This window comes from Homo sapiens, chromosome 6 (genome assembly GCF_000001405.40).
Source record: "Homo sapiens chromosome 6, GRCh38.p14 Primary Assembly".
Taxonomy (NCBI): domain Eukaryota; kingdom Metazoa; phylum Chordata; class Mammalia; order Primates; family Hominidae; genus Homo; species Homo sapiens.
The window spans coordinates 16,521,872-16,543,297 of NC_000006.12; the positions used below are offsets into that span (position 1 = coordinate 16,521,872).

Consider the following 21,426-nt stretch of genomic DNA (forward strand, 5'->3'; position numbering starts at 1 on the left):
ACTCACTCTGCCAACCCCTTTACTTAGTAGCCAACTAGGATTATGAGAAAGTCAAATAGTCTATCAGTATCAGTCTTGACCCTTGCCTTAGGGGTGATCATTATTAGATTACCAAGACCACATTAAGTTAAACTACCTATAACTCTACAGCCTCAAAAAGAATCTGCAGATTCCAAAACCAGACTTGTGCAGGGCAAACATCATGCAGCTAGGAGCCAAACACACCAGTATCAAAATCCTAGCTCTGCTACTCTCCATGAAGCCCCATAAAGGTGATGTGAGCCTCTGGGCCTCAGATGCCCCATCTGTACATAGGGCCTTTGCCAGACAAGCTCTCAGGTCTCATCTGGTGCTCATATCCTGTTATTCTTGGTCATGGAATTCAAAAGACATCACAGTCACTTGAAACTGGATGGTTCCCCCTTGCCTACAGCTGTATCTCTGTGCACCAGTTGCTGAGGGAAAGAAACTTCCTTTCTGTGAGCTGGACAAGGTAATAGCAACAATGATGACCTCGCACGAGGCAAAGCATGTGAACGGCAAAAAAGAAATCGCAGAAAAATCTACAAGGGAAACCATCCTCTCCAAAGGACCCAGTGATGAGGAGAGTCAAAGAATAGGAAAAATACCTTGGTTCCAAGCAGGAGAAAACTAGAGAGTGCATGCTGTCACACACTTTTTCTTGGTGCATCATAGTAATTGGATAATATTTTGATGTGGGTAAAAATACATGAAAGATTCAAAGGATCACTCACCCTATGAAAACAGCACGTCGATTTCTTTCTCACGAAGAAAATGGTCTAATTTCTTTGGAAAACTGGAATAGAAAAAAAGATTTTTTAAAAAAATTAATAACTCCATTCTCTAAATCAGTCCAAATGAGCAGGCCTAGAGGTGATAAGAAATTCCAGCCCCTAGCACTTTGGCCTTTATTAGGTGCACAATAAATGTCTGAAGAACAATAGATGCGTGATTATTTGGCTGACTATATGAATTTTAAAAGCAGAGCTTTGAACAATCAATATGTAGAGAACAATCACAGGCATGATTCATTTATCATGAGATGTATGGTCCTTGTGACAAGGAGTCCATATTGTGGTGCCCAAGAAATCAATTTTTTAGGTGCCTTTCTTAAAATGTCATGTCCTCCATGCCCACCATGATGCTTATTGAAGAAGTCTTTTTTTGTATTTTTTTGAAGTAATGTTTCTGTAGAGATGGGGTCTCACTATGTTGCCCAGGCTGGTCTTGAACTCCTGGCCTCAAGCGCTCCTTCCACCTCAGCCTCCCAAAGTGTTGGGATTACAGGTTTGAGCCATCGTACCCAGCCGTGTTTTATTTTTTTGAGATAGGGTCTTGCTTTGTTACCCGGGTTTGTCATAGATCCGTGCCCATTTTATAGCTGGAAACCCTGAGGCCCAGGGGACTGAGCCACTTGCTCACGTGCACATGGCTGTGAGTGGCAGAGCTGAGCTCAGACCCTGGGATCCTCCCTCCAAAGTCCCTCTCATGGGGGAATTCAGTGACCGTGGATGGGGATGCCATCATAGCTCACTGCAGCCTCCAACTCCTAGACTCAAACTCCTGCCTTAGCCGCCAAGTAGCTGGGACTACAGGCATGTGCCACCACACCTGGATTAAAATGTTGTGTTTTTTCTTTATTTGCGGAGATGGAGTTTTGCTACATTGCCAGGCTGTGAAGAAGTCTTAATAAATAACCAAAGTACCCCATTCCTGCACTTTGCTCTTTCCCAAAATGGTATACCCACAGCTTCACTCCCTGCAGTGATCTGTATGTAATTAGGCTCATATGGGAATGTGGACTTGGCAGAGGGGCGCTGGAGGCCACATATCAGGCTGACTGAGTAATCCCGTGAGGAAGCCACAGTGTCTGAGATACTGACGGGCCAAACAAAGTGTGGGAAAGAACAGAGATGATGTGAATGTTGGACAGAGGAAGCCTGAAAGAAAGGGAGATAAGGGAGCGACGGCAACAGACTATTTAATCTACACCACACAAGGAACTAAGTTCAAGATCCAACTCAACAATAATCTCCAGAGACTATTTTAAAGACGCCTTTGCAGGTTTAAGAGAGGCTGTGAGGCAAAGCTATTCCAGCTCCTGATGTTCTGTGGGCAAGTTTCCCAGGATTCCAGCATCTTTGGGATTCATTCTATGAGCTGTGGAAGGCCACAGCTTTCCCGCCCTTTTCATCAGAGGACGTGGACGGCATGTGGCCGGCCACCAGGGCAGGATAGAGCTTTTTCAGGATGGCCCACCAGCCTGCAGGAAGATTCCCAGACTCAGTTCCTCAGAATCTGAAGGGCACTCCTCCAAGTCCCACAGAGCAGCCCACAAGTGTTTAACATGACACTTACTATGCAGTCAGACTATCCTAGGCTAGGTGGGGCTGCAAAGACAAAGGTTATGCTCCAATTGAAAAAAACTGCCAGAAAGCCATGCAAACATTGAAAAATGGTAGATACTGGCAAAATCTCTGAGTATCTTCTTCGTTTTAAAGCAACACTTTATAATCCACTCACACGCATTGACCTTTTCATCCTAACAACAGACGAGACGTCTACAGTACGAATTCTTGAGACCACGAAAACTGATTTCAAAGTCAGACCTCAGTCTGAGCCTCAGCTGAGTCACAGAGGAGCTGTGTGGTTCCAGTTACTTAAACTCTCTGAACCCTTTCCTCATTTGTATAATGGCAATAACAATATCGACTTCATAGAATGTTTCTAGTTTTTAGTGTGGCGCTTGGTACACAGAAGAGACTGAATAAAACAAAAAGGCATTATCACCATTTGGCACACAACATGTTCATATATCTGTAACAATGGAGGAAAGACACAGGAGAGACTTTGGTGACTTAATAATTTGCCAGAATGTGACTGGGCGTGGTGGCTCACTCCTATAATCCCAGCACTTTGGGAGGCCAAGCCAGGTGGATCACCTGAAGTCAGGAGTTCAAGACCAGCCTGGCCACCATGGTAAAACCCCATCTCTACTAAAAATACAAAATTAGCCGGGCATGGTGGCATGCACCTGTAATCCCAGCTATTTGGGAAGCTGAGGCAGGAAAATTGCTTGAACTCGGGAGGCAGAAGTTGCAGTGAGCCAAGATCATGCCACTGTACTCCAGCCTGGGCAACAAGAGCAAAACAAAAACAACAACAACAACAACAAAAATTACCAGAATGTGAGTACCTGTACTGTATTCCCTTTTTCCTCACCCCTCACAAGTAAATGAGACAAGTTGCCATATGATCCAGAAATCCCACGACTGGGTATATACTCAAAAGAAAGGAAATCAGTATATTGAGGAAAAATCTGCACTTCCTCTGTTTGTTACAGCACTGTTTACAATAGCTAAGATTTGGAAGCAATCTAAATGTCTACCAACAGATGAATGGATAAAGAAAGTATAGTATATACACACAATGGAATATTATTCAGCCATAAAAAAGAATGAGATCCAGTCATTTGCAACAACATGGATGGAACGAGAGATCATTATGTTAAGTGAAAAAAGCCAGGCACAGAAAGACAAACTTAGCATGTTCTCACTTATCTGTGGGATTCAAAAATCAAACCTACTGAACTCATGGACACAGAGAGTAGGAGGATGGCTACCAAAGGCTGGGAAGGGTAGTAGGGGGCTGGAGGGGAGGTGGGGATGGTTAATGGGTACAAAAAAAGTAGTTAGAATAAATAAGATCTACTATTTGATAGCACAACAGAGTGACTATAGTCAATAATAACTGTACATTTTAAAATAAAGAGTATAACTGGAGTGTTTGTTGTAATGGATAAATGCTTGAGTGGATGGATACCCCATTCTTCATGATGTGTTTATTTTACATGTCTGTATCAAAACATCTCATGTACCCCATACATATACACACCTATGTACCCACAAAAAAATTAAAAATTAAAAAAAAATTACAGGACTATGCAGTCAAAAAAAGTGGATGAGACAAATGAGAACAAAATAAAACTGTTCACTGTATAATAATTAGATAAATAGAAAAACCCAAGTAATACAAATCCACAGAAGTCCCACTAATAATCACTATTAACAGTCTGGTTATATGACCCCAGACTCTCTCCTATGCCCAAGTATACAGAGTATATTGTACACATACATATAGAAATAAATCTATATATATATATATATATATATACATACATACAATCTATTTATAATGTACTATGATAGTATTCATAGTATTTTGCTGTCTCATTTTTTTTACTTATTAATTATATTGAAAACCTCCTTTAACATCAATAGATGTATCAACATCATAACATTTGAGGACTGAAAGAGTATTACATTGAAGGAATGAACCAATACATATTTATTTGTTGAATTTACAGAGTCTACCAAAGTGTCCCAAGTTTATAAGAAGTGACTACATATTGTGGTAGCATGTGGTTCTTTTTCTTCTACATTTTTCAAGATTGAGAAAGGCAGGCTGAATAAATATAAAAAGCCTTAACAGCAAAAAGTTGTTTTGGTTTGAGTGGGTGTAGCATAGAAGAACACAAACTAACACATATACCACAGGGAATAGAATCACACATTAGAATATTCAGTAGGTGGCCGGACGCGGTGGCTCACGCCTGTAATCCCAGCACTTTGGGAGGCCAAGGCGGGTGGATTACCTGAGGTCAGGAGGTCAAGACCAGCCTGGCCAAAATGGTGAAACCCTGTCTCTACTAAAAATACAAAAATTAGCTGGGCTTGGTGGCAGGTGCCTGTAATCCCAGCTACTCGGGAGGCTGAGGCAGGAGGATCACTTGAACCCGGGAGGTGGAAGCTGCAGTGAGTCGAGAATGCACCACTGCACTCCAGCCTGGGCAACAAGAGCAAAACTTCATCTCAAAAAAAAAAAAAAAAGAATATTCAGTGGGTGTTCAACATATCGAAAAAGGACTCAATTTTAAAGACTCGGGATAATGGGTGAATAGGGATGGCTAGATCAAGTATTAAATCGCTAAGTCTGAAGTCAAGCAAATGTCCTTGTTTCAGCCCAATCATGGTAGAGTTACTTAATGATACAGAGGAAAGTTAACTGAAAAAACTGTATGATCTTGAGTGATCCTAGAAATTAAATCACTATTTGAAGGTGAAAACCTAAAAAAAAAAAAAAAAAATCAGGACTTACCATATTTCTTTAGAAGGTATCAAAAATTAAAATATTCATTCAGTGTTAATATTTCTAATCTAAGTTCCTTCTCAAAGAGAATGGTTGGTTTGGTAAAAATATATGTGATAGGATTTGCTGAAGTCACATGACACATCCTTGCCCTCAATTAAGGGTGCCATACCTCCCCCCGCGACTAGTGACATTCCAGGAAAATCTCACTTTTGAGGGGAGGCTGGGGAAGTGAGCATATCCCCGCAATGGGCAGAGTGTGTGGAAATCGTGTCTCCAGCCATGGAGACACGAATGCAGTTAACCTTTTCTAAGTATCCAACACTGCTCCATGAATCAGGCAGGAGATGGGGCTGGCAGAGAGCAGCAGAGGGAGAAAGAACACATAGCAGCAGCAAAGAAATGCCAAAGGAGATAGATACTGGCTGCAAAATCCCAGCGAGATCAAAGGCGGAGATGCAAAGTAGAGCAACACAGAGTCTGATCTGTGAAACCAAGGTCCATAACCAATGGCAGGTGACAGTCCCTTACAACAAATGCTCCCTAAATGCTTCATCCCTGGTCCAGCCGATGCAATTTTTAAGGGGAGTGGTAATTTGTGGTGGGGGTCATGCTCTTAGAAAAAACATGTCTATTACATTTTGACCATGTGAAATAGAATCAATGTTGGGAACTAAGAACACAGACCTTAAATGTCAGCAGTGGATGGAGTCAGAGAGAGCATTTCTTTGACAATTCACTCTAGGCATTTGCAATATCATGGAATATGAACTGAGCTACTTTTAACAAATCTCTTTTCATAGTACAATTCAGGACCTGGTGAGATGTTTCCAGATCTAACAATGCACTTCTTATAGGGACAGAGTTTTTGCTTTGCCCAACTCTCTCGTGGTCACCGCTTTTACATGAGTGAGCATTAGATGGTCAGGCTGTGTTGTGTGCTATACAATGGCTTTTTTACACCATCAAGACTAAATCTGCTGGGTGCTGTGGCTCATGCCTGTAATCCCAGCACTTTCGGAGGCCAAGGCAGGAAGATCACTTGAGGTCAGGAGTTCAAGACAAGCCTGGGCAACATGGCAAAACCCCGTCTCTACTAAAAATACAAAAATTAGCCAGGTGTCCTGGTGCACGCCTGTAATCCCAGCTACTCGGGAGGCTGAGGCAGCAGAATCTCTTTAACCCGGGAGGTGGAGGTTGCAGATAGCTGAGATCGCACCACTGCACTCCAACCTGGGCAACAGAGTGAGACTCCCTCTCAAAAAAAAAAAAAAAAAGAAAAACACTAAATCATACATTGCTTCCAAAGGTAGCTCCATATCCTCTGAAGGTATACATGGGAGGGCCCATAACATATCATGTATTCCAGATCTAGCCATAAAACCATGCGGTTTAGATTTTAACATCCAAATCCAATTGTGTGTCTCTGGTAAACATGACTTGCCCAGTAAAACCGTGCTGATACTACATGTTCCACAGTTACGTTATCATTATATTTTCGGACTAACTTTTGGAAATGTTGTCTTGTCGTTGTATTGTATCATCCTGAGTAAGTATTAAATTCCTTAATATTTGCCACAACCATTTGCTGAGTGGCTAATTTGTATGGACACATTTTTATCTATTATCTTTAATCCTGACAAAATCTCTGTAAAATAGGTTTTATTGGCCTCATTGTACAGATGAGGAAAATAAGGCTCAAGAAAAGTAACCTAACCAAGGTCACCAGTAAGTGACAAAGCTAGGTTTGTCTGGGTTTCACGGTCAAAGAGAAAAGATGAGCTCCCTGGCAACATGCACGAGAGATTAAAGTCTCAATACATAAGCATTCTGACAAACAAAAAATAAGCACTTGCAGCCGGGCACAGTGGCTCACACCTGTAATCTCAGCACTTTGGGAAGCCGAGGGAGGTGGATCACCTGAGGTCAGGAGTTCGAGACCAGCCTGGGCAACATGGTGAAACCCCATCTCTACTAAAAATACAGAAATTAGCTGGGCATGGCGGTGTGTGCCTGTAATCCCAGCTACTTGGGAGGCTGAGGCAGGAGAATTGCTTAAACCTGGGAGGTGGAGGTTGCAGTAAGCTGAGACTGTGCCACTGCACTCCAGCCTGGACAACACATCAAGACTCTGTCAAAAAAAAAAAAATCTTTGTCAGGGTTTTTTGTTTTTTTTTTTTTTTTGTGAAGATAGCAAGCGAGGATATGAGAACAAAAGTTACCCATGACATTCAGTGGAAAGTTGTGTATTAGTGCCCAACAGGTGCCAGGCAAGCGTTCTTCAGGCAGCACAGCGGGACCAAAGTGCTGACAGTGGCAACGACACAAAATGTAGCCTTGGCAAGTCAGTCTAACAATTACTTTGCATCATTCTGATTATGAGCCACAAGCATGCAATCAACAGCATAGAGACAGTCTTAAATGATCTCCATCAGCATTTTACTTTAGTTATCAAAGTGTGGCAGATTGAACACCCGCTCATCTGACCTAAGCGCAATGTTAATAACCCAAACACAAAGAATGTGCAGGAATAATAATGGCTCAAGAGCACTGGCCTTGCTGGGGGCCATTGGTTATAACAGATGTATTTTATTTTATCCAACTTTTTTCATTTATTACCTCAGAGTAGATACATATTATTATGTGTTTCTCGTCGGATAAATTTATCCACAGTCTAACACAATTTAAATTGAGTTAGGACTTAAGTGAGTTTCCAAATTCCCTAAACTTACTATGGCATGATGTACATGTCTCTATGAGGAGCACTTTTCACACTCCATGGTAAATTTTTGTCGTACTCATCTTCTCCACTAAATTGTGACCCAGCTCTGATAGCCTGGATTTTACATCATTTATCTCTGTGTAGCAGACATTCAAAATATGCAGAAATGAATGAATCCTCAGAGAATCATAAATAAAAGGCATGCTTATTGAGTCCGTGAATGTCCCCAAGTTGGAGAAGTCACCAGCATTTCAAAGAGCAACATCTGAATTCCAAAATTTGTCTAAAATTGAAAAGATGATTATAAATCTATACCATGAAATTTGGTAGATATCTGTTCTTAAGGAATTAAAACATATAAATATAAAAATAAGGAAATACTCCTCTGATATTGGCTGAAGAAAATCATTTTCAAGGAGACTCTTACCAAAGCTCTATTTTCAACATTAAAGCTTAAAATGTAAGGGGCAGAGAGTATTTTGAGAATGGTTTTCAAGGAAAGTAATTAAAATCAACGTAGGTTGTAGAACCAGATCCAGAAGAGAAATACTGATTGCTATATTTCAGGGGTGAAAAAAGGTCAAATTGTCAAAAAGTAAAGAAAAGGGCCTGAAAGTTTTCAATACTGTATCAATGCCCATCACTTCACTCAAAAAGTTAGTGAAGCAGTACGATTCCATGGAAGGGTTAAGGGTTCATTTTCCTTTTAGATAAATATTGTATCTGGAGCAAAAGGTAACCTCTTAGCAGATTCATCCATTGTCGGAATCTTATTTGGACTGTACAAAACGACTACCCCATCGTTTTACTTAAGAGAACATCTACACTGGAATCTACTGGAGGGTGGAGGTGGGAGGACAAAGAAGATCGGGAAAAATAACTAATGGTTACTAGGCTTAGTACCTGGTGACAAAATAATCTGTAAAACAAACCCCCATGACACAAGTTTACCTATATAACGAACCTGCACACGTACATCTGAACTTAAAATATAAGTTAAATGAATAAAAAAAGAAAACATCCACACATAGAAGTCAATCAGGTTTTATGATTTCCTGGGTGTCTGTGTTCACGGGTGGGTATGCGTGTGTGTGTATGTGTAGCATTTCTTTCCCATTATCTCAATGCTTATTATACATAATTTTTTAAGTCAATGCTTAATACTCTTCAACTGCCAAAACATACCATATAAACTCTTCAAAGACAGTGTCCATACACCTTAATAAGTCCTCTAACAGCTAGCATAAGTTTACTGTATACATGGTCAAGGTATTGAAGAGAATTTGTACAAAACAATCAGCACATCCACAGTATCTCAAAATTCCCAAATTGGCAATCACTGCCTTAGCAAAGCTGCATCTCTGACCTGGAGATAGAGGGGAAGAGAAGCAGGAAACCATCTTTAGGGTGCCAGGCAGCAAGTTGCCTGTGGTCTACGTTTCGGGGCAGGTCCCTCTTCCATAACTCCTCTCACCACAGCTAAAGATCAGAGCTACTTCACCAAAGTTTAGTACGAATAGGAAATATCACAGAGGAAAGGCAGAATTCAGATTCTGTGACTTTAAAAAGTGCAACCCAGGCAGGACGCAGTGGCTCACACCTGTAATCCTAACACTTTGGGAGGCCGAGGCCAGTGGATCACCTGAGGTCAGAAGTTCAAGACCAGCCTGGCCAACATGGCGAAACCCTGTCTCTACTAAATATACAAAAATGAGCTGGGCGTGGTGGCAGACACCTGTAATCTCAGCTACTCAGGAGGCTGAGGCAGGAGAATTGCTTGAACCTGGGATGTGGAGGTTGCAGTGAGCCGAGATCATGCCATTGCACTCCAGCCTGGGAAACAAGAGCGAAACTGTGTCTCAAAAAAAAAAAAAAAAAAAGTGCTACCCATGTTAGAAACCTTTTGGTCACATCTGGTAACAGCCCCAGTGGTGCTAAGGACATGAAAGCCATTGCCCCAATCAAAAAACAAAGGCAAAGAACACAGCTCTGGACACAAAATTGGAATTCAGTAAATACTTAAAAGCAGTAATGTAACAGGGGTCTATCTTATTCAGTAAATACTTAAAACAGTAATATCTACTACATAAGCTTTATTGTTTTCAAAGTGAATAGCTTGCAGTCAACATCACTACATTATATATACGGTTCTAAAAATAGTATTTCTTAAACACCTAGAACAGCCAAAGGTTGGCAAACTTTTTCTATAAAGGACCAGGGAGCAAATGCTTTAGGCTGTGTGGGCCAGACATCTCCATTGCAACTACTCAATCTGTCATTGTCGTGCAAAAGCAGCAATTGAAGATACTCATACAAACAGGCATGTCGGTGTTCCAATAAAACTTAATTTACAGAAACAGGCTGGGGTGATATTTGGCCCATGGTCCAGTTTGTCAATACCTGGTCTAGAATATTATTACACTGAAAAATTATAAGATGGACTCTCAACTTCCTTCCTTTCCTCTAAAGAGATTATTTTTCTTAGTGAAAAGTTAGATGACAATGTCACACAGTAGCCAAAAGCAGTCGGTGGTATATTCTGCAGCATCCACCACTGAACCTCGTCCATGATAAGCAGATATGGGCAAATCTGAGAATTCCAGGTGCAGTTTTCCAGTGGTAAGTCTCTACATATTCATCTCTGCATTACATATGTGCAAAGGGAACAGGCTGCCCCATGGAACCCCAGATAAATGCTAAATAGCCTCTTGAAGTAGTGTACTATCTAGGCATGCAAGAAGACTCTTGAGCAACAACAAAAAACAAATACCTTGATTAAAAAATGGGCAAAGGACTTGAATTGACATTTCTTCAAAGAAAATATGCAAATGACCATTAAGCACACGAAAAGACACTCAACATCACTAATCATTAGGAAAATGCAAATCAAAACCACAATGACATACCATTTCACTCACATTAAGATGGCTCTGATTAACAACAAAAAAAACAACCCCCAAAACAAGAAAATAACAAATGTTGGCAAGGATGTGGACAAATTGGAACTCTGTGTACATTACTGATAGAAATGCAAAATGGTACAGCTGCTGTGAAAAATACCATGATGGTTCCTCAAAAAATTTAAAAAATACTACATGATTCACCAATTCCACTTCTAGGTATATACCCAAAAAAACTGAAAGGAGGCACTTGAACAGATATTTGTATACCAGTGTTCATAGCCACATAATTCACAATAACCTAAAGTGGAAGCAACCTAAGTGTCCATCAATGGATGAATAGATACAAAATGTGATACATATGTGCAATATTATTCAGCCCTAAAGAGGAAGGAGATTCTGACACATGCTACAACATGGATATGCAGTTTTGCTTTGGGAAGATGAAAACGTTCTGAAGATGGATCGTGGTGATGACTGCAATATAATGTGAATGTACTTAATGCCACTGAACTGTACACTTAAAAATGGGAAAAATGATGAATTTTATCACAATAAAAAGAAGAAGAAGAAGAAGACCCCTGTGATCACTTGACCTTATAAGGGAGCTTTTCAGGTGATCTGTTTGGATCAAGATATCCCAAGAAGTTTCAAATGAGAGTTGAAACTTGAGAGGGTTGGTTTATGGGAGGCAGCTGATGAACTGTGACCTCGTTTGAGTGTTCCAGGAAATCGGCTTCCACATCTAGGAATCACTTGGACTAAAAAAGAATGTGAGAGCTCCTTTGATTCAGAGTGAGCTCTCACATGAGATTTGTAATATGGCCAGAATGCTTGCAATATCCTTTTCTGAGTTTTACAACCTCAGAGACCCAATTTGGCAGTGGATCAGGAGTAAAGTCACTAATAGGAACAAAAGCTAGGAAAATTTACCATACCTGATGGAGGGACATAGGAAAGGGCAAAGAGGTAAAAGAAATCCCTGTAATTAAGGCAAAGCCAACCTATCTTTCAGGATCACAGTGAAAACTCACAATCTCCAGTTATGAGTAAGAGAAGTCTTCTTCTTTCCCTAACCATTCTCCTTCGTCACGCATATAACTGCTTTTAGGTGACTCGTTTGAAATGTAAGCTGCTCTGAGTCTAATTCGGCATAACACTTAACACCATATACCATGCACAAGAGGTGACTTCATGGAAACTGTCCCTATTTGCATAGCACTATTCCCTGGATTACTCAGGTATCATCCTTGCAAAAGTCAAACTGATACAGGGTTGCATTGCCTACTACAAGCAGAATAACGTTGAGTCATGGTTTCTCAGCTGAAAGAAAATGATATCGTTTTTTCCTATATTCTTGGTAAGAATCAGAAGATACCTCCAAGCCAGCCCAACCATAAATCCTATGACCACATATATATGACACTGATGACTACCTTCAGGTGACAACAGGTTTCCCCATGCTGCCAAAATAAAGTAGAAGGCTGGGTAATGGTTTAGTACATTTGAATCATGCACTTTTCCAACTCAGTTATTGAGAATGGCCATTAGAGGGTCCCAAATAACCCAGTTAACCAAAAAATTTTCTGACCGTTAAGAGTTTTAACCAATATGCAGTAAAATGCAGTTTTCAATCAGGGGCACACATCTCTACTGTAACCATTTTTTGACAGTTTTGTTAGAGAATTCAAAGCACCAAATAAAAATGTGTACCTGAAAAAGACTACTAGAGGAAAAAAAAATAAATTCAGGGTAAGGGTACATACTAGATATTTAGACAGCTGAAGCCAGTGGTGTGTGCAGAAATGTTTAATAAAAGTGGGAGGGGAGAGAGGACCCCTGATGTGTAGCATTTGCAGACTTCTGTAGTGTAAACACTCCCACCATGGCCAATTTCAAGGTAATAACATGATGTCAACATGCTCCCCAAATTTCTGAACATTTAACACTTGGCTCATAAAAGTGCAAGCTGGCTCCACTACACCACTGGTCCATTTCCTCATCCCACCAAGATCAGTAAACCCTACTTCCTACCTAAAATAAACCCAAGAAGCAAAGTCCTTCATTATTTTCGGCTTTCTTCTTATCCATAGATATTTAAGAGACTATCTGTTCCCACTTCCATGTCTTTGCTTCTAGCCTCCTCATCTGGAATAAACCTTCCTAAGTCTGCTCTTGTATAAACAGCTTTCTTTGAATGCTCTTAGGCTAGGTCGCACCAGCCCTTCTGTATTCTGATTTTCTACAGCACTTCTCTGTTACTGTCCTGTCATTTGATTCTAGAGGGCAGGGGTCTGTGAGGGCAGGGCATCTGCCCACAGGAATAAGCACAGCACCAAGTCTGACTTGGATTGAGCTGAATAAATGAAATCTGTTGAGTTGACTGGCTGGGCTGCCTTCTGTCTAGTCTGCCACAGTGAGCTAGGCTCCTCCTGAAGTGAACTAGGATCAGTGAGGGACTAAAGTCAATCTGTAGCATGAAGATTTCACAGGGCACTCACTACTGCACACACCAAACTCCCACAAAAGGAAGAGGGGGAGCTAATATGTGTTGGGCATAAAATTTCTGCAAGCCCCAGCACCCAGAACTTAGTTCCTAACACCATTCTCCAATAAAACAAACCAGGGGTCTTTGGAGAAATGGCTGATTCTAGTACTGTGACAGGGAATATCCAAGATGAGCATGGAGCATCTTGTAGTATCAGAAAGTGGGAAAATGCTAAATAGATAAATCAATACCCCACAGTGATGGGGGCATATAAAAGGGGGACAAGAGACAATATTCCTAATATTTCTCAAAGAGCTGCCAATGGCCAGAACTAAAACAACCAGAGCAACAAAATAAACAACATAGTACTGGATTAGAACCTAAAGAATAAAATAAACACCCATGAGTTCATATTGATATAAATAAATTTTAAAAGAGGAAGAAAACACGCATCTCTTGAGCAAAGGAGTTCTAAATAATTCATGCAGATGTTCTGCCCTTGTAAAGGTAGAGCGTAACTGCCCACCCCTTAAGTGTGGGCTGTGCACAGTGACTTCCTTCCAACGAGTAGTACAGTATGGAAAAGGGTGTGTGTGAGTGTGTCTGTGTACAAAGAGTAACTTTAAAGTTGACAAACCCTGACACAACCTCGGCTGAGGTCATCAAGATCAACAGCCCATGATAGGTCACATATGATGTGATAAAAGTGACAATCTGCCAATTTTAAGGAGTACAGACTAATCATTTTGTGGACTGTCCCTCAATTTGGGTTTTTCTGGCCAGGCATGGTTGGCTCACGCCTGTAATCCCAGCACTTTGTGGGGCCAAAGAGGGTGGATCACTTGAGCCCAGAAGTTTGACACCAGCCTGGCAAAACCCTGACTCTACCAAAAAAAAACCAAAAACCAAAAACCAAATTAGCTGGATGTGGTAGCCTATGCCTGTAGTCCCAGCTACTCAGGGGGCTAAGATGGGAGGATTGCTTAAGCCCCGAAGGTCCAGTCTGCAGTGAGCTGAGATCGTACCACTGCACTCCAACCTGGGCGACAGAGTGAGACCCTGTCTCAACAATAATAATAATAATAGTAATAATAAAATAAAATAAAATTTACCTAAAAGCAAGAACTAAAGCCAATATTTTATTTTGATTGAGTAATGATACACAATAACTAGTCTTGAAGGGCATCAACTAAAACATGATGGACTGCAGGATGGACAGATGGCTTGATACCTGACAAAGCAAATATAGCAAAATATTATTTGCAAAATCTAGGTGGCAAGTTTATGGGTGTTCACTGTACAATTCTTACAATTTACTTGTATGTTTGCAATTTTTCCTAATAAAATGTTGGGGGGAAAGTCTCTCGTGAACAACTCTGCCCAGTCATAGAAGAGTTTCCCAGGAAAGATTTATTTAGCCCAAATATGCATGTATCTGACTTTTGGGGGACATCTCATTTAACAAAAATTAGGCTTCTGATTTCTCCTTTTAACCTCTTTTACAGAAAACTGCCCCCCTTAGCAGTGAAAGGCAGCACTTTTGCCAATGTGCTATTGCAATGTGCTACTGCAATGTGCAATGCAATTAGGCTATTAAATAATAGACAAAAGGCCAATGTTTATTAATTAGCAAAAAGCCATATAGGATATGAGCTCTAGACTCTGCAGAGCTTTATATTCCACATGGACCCTCCAATCATTTTTGTGGCTTGGATGGATTTCAGCACTGGTACTTATCATGGTCAAAGATACATCATTATTGCTCTAGTCAATACACATTTTCATTAAATAGCACATTTATAACACATGTATTTATTTTACAATTTCCATAAACTTGGTTATTTACTCATTCTACCTTCAACTCTTACTTGGCCTTAGGAAATGTAAAATCTTTTTTTTTTTTTTGATAAGAGGTTTTTCTTGAAATAGGAGTTAATTAAAAGATTTAAGGAAAACGTACCTCTTGTGATTCAAACATGAGATTATTATTATCTTTTATAAAAGGTAAAATCTATTTCAGAGCATTTTAAGTGTGCATCAACCGTCCCTGAATTCCGATGCTTGACAAATTCATTAGCAATAACAAATGTTAAACCTGTCTAGAGTATTTCCTTGCTATTCTACGCAGCAAATCAATGGCCTCGCCAACCGCCACAGGATAAAAGTGTGTGTATTCTGCCAACGTGATGCCACCGACAGGGAGAGCCAACTCTGCTCACCCTCCGAGAAGGACTCTAGTGCATAAGTGGCTGCCTATGTATTGGGATGTTCTGGCCGGGCGCGGTGGCTCACGCATGTAATCCCAGCACTTTGGGAGGCTGGGGCAGATGGATCACCTGAGGTCAAGAGTTCAAGATGGGCTTGGTCAGCACAGTGAAACACTGTCACTACTAAAAAGACGCAAAATTAGCTGGACGTGGTGGCAGGTGCCTGTAATCCCTGCTAGTCGGCAGGCTGGGGCAGGAGAATCGCTTGAACCCAGGAGGTAGAGGTTGCAGTGAGCCGAGACTGCACCACTGCACTCCAGTCTGGGCAACAAGAGTGAAACTCTGTCTCAAAAAAAAGAAAAAAAGAAAAAAAGAAAAAAAAAAAGAAATGATGTTCTAACTGAAATACAACCATGATACAGGCAAAAACAGACTTCGATTTGGAAGCTAAAAAAGGTGTCTTGGCCAGGTGCGGTGGCTCACACCTGTAATACCAGCACTTTGGGAGGCCAAGGTGGGCGGATCACCTGAGGTCAGGAGTTTGAGACCAGCCTGGCCATCATGGTGATACCCCATCTCTACTAAAAATACAAAAATTAGCCAGGCATGGTGGCAGATGCCTGTAATCTCAGCTACTTGGGAGGTCAAAGCAGGAGAATCACTTAAACCCAGGTCAGCTTGCTGGCAACTTCCCAGATTAGTGCACTTGATGAAACCCCTTGTAATAATTAAATTCCTTCCACCGGCACAAGAAATATGTCCACTGAAAATAGGAATTTCCTTTCTCTCTTTGCCCTCAAGACCTTCACCACCCAGGACAGTGAGAGGCTATAAGTGTTAAGGGCACCGGGGCAGAGCCAATATCTGGGTTTAAATGACCTTGGGCAAATCACTTAACCTCACTGTTTTCAGATATAAAATTTACATAACAAAAGTTGTGAGGATTAAAGGGTTAATATAGCACAAAGCACTTAGAGCAGTATTATAGGTGTTTGCTTTTATTGACCAACATACAAAGAGCTGACTGTTATTCAATGATTCCAAAATAATTGTTCTTTTTATTTTTTTAATCTTTTTTTTGTTTTTAATTATACTTTAAGTTTTAGGGTACATGTGCACAACATGCAGGTTTGTTACATATGTATAGATGTGCCAGGTTGGCGTGCTGCACCCATTAACTTGTCATTTAACATTAGGTATATCTCCTAATGCTATCCTTCCCCCCTCCCCCCACCCCACAACAGGCCCCGGTGTGTGATGTTCCCCTTCCTGTGTCCATGTGTTCTCATTGTTCAATTCCCACCTATGAGTGAGAACATGGGGTGTTTGGTTTTTTGTCCTTGCGATTGAGATAGTCTCGCTCTGTCACCCAGGATGGAGTGCAATGGCACTATCTCGGCTCACTGCAACCTACGCCTCCCAGGTTCAAGCAATCCTCTCGCCTCAGCCTCCCAAGTAGCTGGGACTACAGGCATGAGCCACCACACCTGGCTAATTCTTGTTTTTTCAGTAGAGACAGGGTTTCACCATGTTGTCCAGGATGGTCTCGAACTCCTGACCTCAGGTGATCCACCTGCCTCGGCCTCCCAAAGTGCTGGGATTACAGGCATGAGTCACTGCGCCCAGCCCAAAATAACTATTCTAACCTATCCTCTCCTCACTACTTACCCCCACTATCCTTCACCTGCCAACCCACTCTAAGTCTGTTCATTTAGACTTCTACCCATTCCCATGCAGAAAGGACCAGTTCAGCAACAGCAGGGATGCTGGCAGGTAGGTTTTAGAAACTCTTAATCACAGGGCTAATGTGTTGATCCAGCTTAAATGTATAGCTAATGATTCATTCCACTTTTCATTTTATAACAAGGGTTTTTTTGCATGCAGATTTTATCATGACGCTTGCTTTCTCTCTTCTCTTGTATCAAGCATCTTTTCATCTTCAGCTCTGTCCCACCCCACTGCTGAATTTTTTAAAAAAGAAAAAAGAAACCCAGCCAACTAGCTCAGAGGCCTATGTATTTTGCTCTGAACTTCACACTGACGATATTATACACAGTCATGGCAGTGACTGTATTATACACGGTCATGGAAGTTATGGAGAATTGGAATCTAATGAAAAGAGATAAGAGAGGAGCAGAGAGATAAAGGAACCCTTGAAAATCAGCCCCAATATCTCACCCAGATATGGGTGGCCTCAGAGCTTATTGATATAGACTGTGTCTCTCACCAAAGGGCATGCCATTTGCTTGCCATCATTTCTTTAAAACTATTAGTCACTCTCACACCGATTTACCTTTAAACAAGGACATTCTATAACCAGGGATCCACCTCTGTGGCTTAGTCATCGGATCAGCCTCAAGGTCACCGACTAGAGTAACCTGATGACAATTACCTCATTCACCCACTATAGAACAGTTCTATCACCGATCAATACAGGACACCTCTGCACAACATCAACAAAGCCTTCTCAAGGGGGCACCCTGCATGCATCAGAAACAAATTACACCCTTAGAGGCAGATGACACACCGAAGGCAGAAAGATCCTCTCTGCAAAGCAAAGCCTTTGTTTAAGTCTGAGAGGAGTGCCAATCCAACCTCAAAAAAAGGAGAAAAGGAGAGGAAAGAGGATCCATGCCACAGAAACAGAGTACTGTTCGGAACTCTTTTCTTGACATGATGTTTCCCTTGCCTTTCCGCTCGAACACGGGATGCATCTTCTGGGGAAGAGAAAACTGGAAGTGCAATGACAGGGGACTGCAATGCTGAGAATCAAGAAACAGAATTTCACAGTGCATTGGTGAAATCACCAATAATAAACATTATAGAGTGCTTACTCTGTGTCAGTCTCTTAATTATTATTATAATTATTTTTGGAGACGGAATCTTGTTCTGTCACCAGGCTGGAGTGCAGTAGCATGATCTCGGCTCAATGCAACCTCCGCCTCCTGGGTTCAAGTGATTCCCCTGCCTCAGCCTCCCAAGTAGCTGGGACTACAGGCGCGTGCCACCACGCCTGGCTAATTTTTTATATTTTTAGTAGAGACGGGTTTCACCATGTTGGCCAGGATGGTCTCGAACTCCTGACCTCAGGTGATCCACCCACCTCAGCCTCCCAGAGTGCTGGGATTACAGGCATGAGCCACTGCGCCCGGAACTGATTCAGCTCTCCCAACAGCCCAGTGAGATGAGTTCTATTATTATTCCCATTGTACAGATTGGAGTACTGAGGCACAAGAGGGTAGGTAAAGTGCCTGAAGTCACACTGATAAATGGCTGCAGTTGGGATTCAAAGCCAAGGAGTTAGGCTCTAGAGTCACTATATTAAACTGCCTGGTTAAGAACAGCAATATTACATAATGTTAGGTTTGTGTTGTGTTTTACAGTTTACAAAATATTTGCACATGCTTTTTCCCTCTGCTTGGAATGGCTGTCTCATGTATTTACTTATGAGTTCCTCTCCCAACAGAGCCTTCTACTGAAAGGTGTTCAATACCGTGTTCATAGAGTGAAGGTATGAATAACTGACTCTAATTAATCCTTAAATTGCTGTGGGAGACAGGCTGAGAATATATGACTAAACTTGTTTTGAAATAAGGAAAATGAGGTTTGGGAAAATCAAATGACTTGTCTAAGGTCATATTGCTTTGAATATGAGCTCATCGTAACTAAACCAGTGGTTTAAAAAAAATTTTTTTTAACCACAGGACCTTTCTAAGAAAACTATTTTACATAGCCTCAGAATATCACAGAGCTGAAGGAGAAGCTGCCCCGCTGCCCCGGTCAATAGAGGCTGAGGGCAGCCCACAGCCTCAAAGTTTATGGGGAGCCTCTGGGGCTTTGCAGAATGCAGGCTGGGGACTCACTACTGCACCACGCAACACTACTAGGACACCTGACCCAGCCCTGAAACTTTGAGAGAGGGTGACCAACCACACCTTCAAGTCTCACCCATTTACGACTCTGACCCATGGGGGAAGGCAGAGGATTAAGATTCTTTCTCCTTCCACCCCAGCAGAGGGACCTGTTCTTAGCTTCCCAGCTTGAGCGTCTCTTTCTGTTTCTTTCTTTGGAGCTCTTCTGTATTTGTTCCTTTTTCAGTCCCGAGGGCTGATCACTGGAAACAGGGCAACCTCTGGTGACCTGGTTTTTCATCACCAGCCAGGGCAGAAGAAGTCAAAGTGTGCTCAAGGGCTTTGCACGCTGCTCCCTAGAACTGGACGCCTTTGAGAAATCTGGGATTCTTCCAGGCGGCAGACTTCATTCCACAGTGGTGGAAAAGCTGGCCAGGGAGAGAGAGCAATTTTGCAAGGCACAGTGCCGCACTTGGACCTGTATCCTGACACCGCCAAATCAGAGGAGGCAGAAAGCCCTGAGTGTTACAGAACGTCTGAGCTAGAGGAGGCCTCTAAGAGCTTTCAGTCCAGTCTCCTCATTTAATGAACACGGAAATTGTATCCTGCTAACGTAAAGTGACTTGGTCAAAGCTACGCAGTGGCACAACTAAAACTCAGGATTTCTGACATCTTGCCCCTGAGCACCCAAAACTCAAAGGACAGAAAGTACAATGTGAACTACAGAAGTAACCAAAGGACTTTCTGGTGATGTCAAATGATGCAAGACAGCAAAATGCTCAAGTTGGGAATAAATTGATAGGTGTATCTATTAAAACCATCTCTTAAGGCCTTCTGGGGGAAAACGCCACCACCAAGAATTACTTGAAGGCTTGTCAAGTGCTTTAAGGCGCTATAAGGCAAGATGCAACACTGAGAGACATTAAAAAAAGATAACCTTTTCCCCACTGCCTGAGTTGCTCTTGAGTGCCTAGTGGGTGAACAGAGGAGGGAGAAGCGCCCAGGCTTCCAATGGGTTCTCTGCACAGCCACACGGTCATTAGCATCCACAATCTGCATTCACTCCAGATGAGATTTCATCACCGCATCCTATTTATTCATTCCTTAATATAAATCTAAATTGCGCTCTTCAAATAGCAGAGAGCACTATGCTTCAGTAAGGGGAAAGAGAAACGATCACATTAAGAGACGTGCTGCTGCATTTTCATCTTCTCCCTCCTATGTTACTTTGGTCTTGACAGCCTTAATTCACACAGTGCTCCCGGAGCCCTTCCCTGGCTCGTCCCAAGGATCAGCAAACACACGGCTATCTTAGTTTTTCACACTGGGGCTCTCTCTAGAGGGAAAGTATGTAGCTTTCCACATTCCCAACTACTTGGGAGCCCAAGGTGTTTGCAGCAGCCAAATACAACTAACGAGTAGGAAAAAGACACTAAGAAATGCCACAATTGTGTCTGACACATTCAAAAGACAGTTGTCCTCCCATCCATGGAGGATCTGTTCCAAGACCCCAGTGGACGCCTAAAACCATGAATAGTACCTTTATGTATATCTACTATGTTTTTTCCTATACATATACACCCATGATAGAGTTTAATTTATAAATAAGTCACAGTAAGAGATTAACAACAAAAACTAATAATAAAATAGAACAATCATAACATTATACTGTACTAAAAGTTATGTGAATGTGGTGTCTCTCTCTCTCTCTCAAAATATCTTATTGCATGGCACTCACCTGTTTTTGTACCACGCTTGACTGTGGGTAATTGAAACAGCAGAAAATGACACCGAAGATGGGGGGTGGGGGGAACTACTGTATCAACCTGGATAAGTTCACAGGGAACGGAACACATTCTTTCCAGAAGGTGATGCATAAAATCACAGCATGTCCACAAATGGCCTTTGGGAATGATGGGACATTTGAGTTTACAAAATGCGAGACAAGCAAAGCCCAGGGAGCTGAGCTCTGGCCTGGGTCCCGCTCATTCCTTCCCACCGTCCCGCAGCCACCACCACCTCTCATTCTGTGCGGGAGGGGACATGTGGCCCTAGCACCACCACTTTCCTTATAAAAAGTAATTTATGG

At 41.8% G+C, this 21,426-nt stretch overlaps 1 protein-coding gene across 3 annotated transcripts in view; it reads right to left on the reverse strand.

The window, feature by feature from the left end:
• Positions 1–21,426, reverse strand: part of ATXN1 (ataxin 1) — a 462,349-nt gene that overhangs the window by 222,760 nt on the left and 218,163 nt on the right. For all 3 annotated transcript variants that reach the window (NM_001128164.2, NM_001357857.2, NM_000332.4), the window contains one exon: positions 756–817. The gene's annotated coding sequence lies outside the window, so the exon portion shown is untranslated. The remainder of the gene's footprint in view (positions 1–755; positions 818–21,426) is intronic.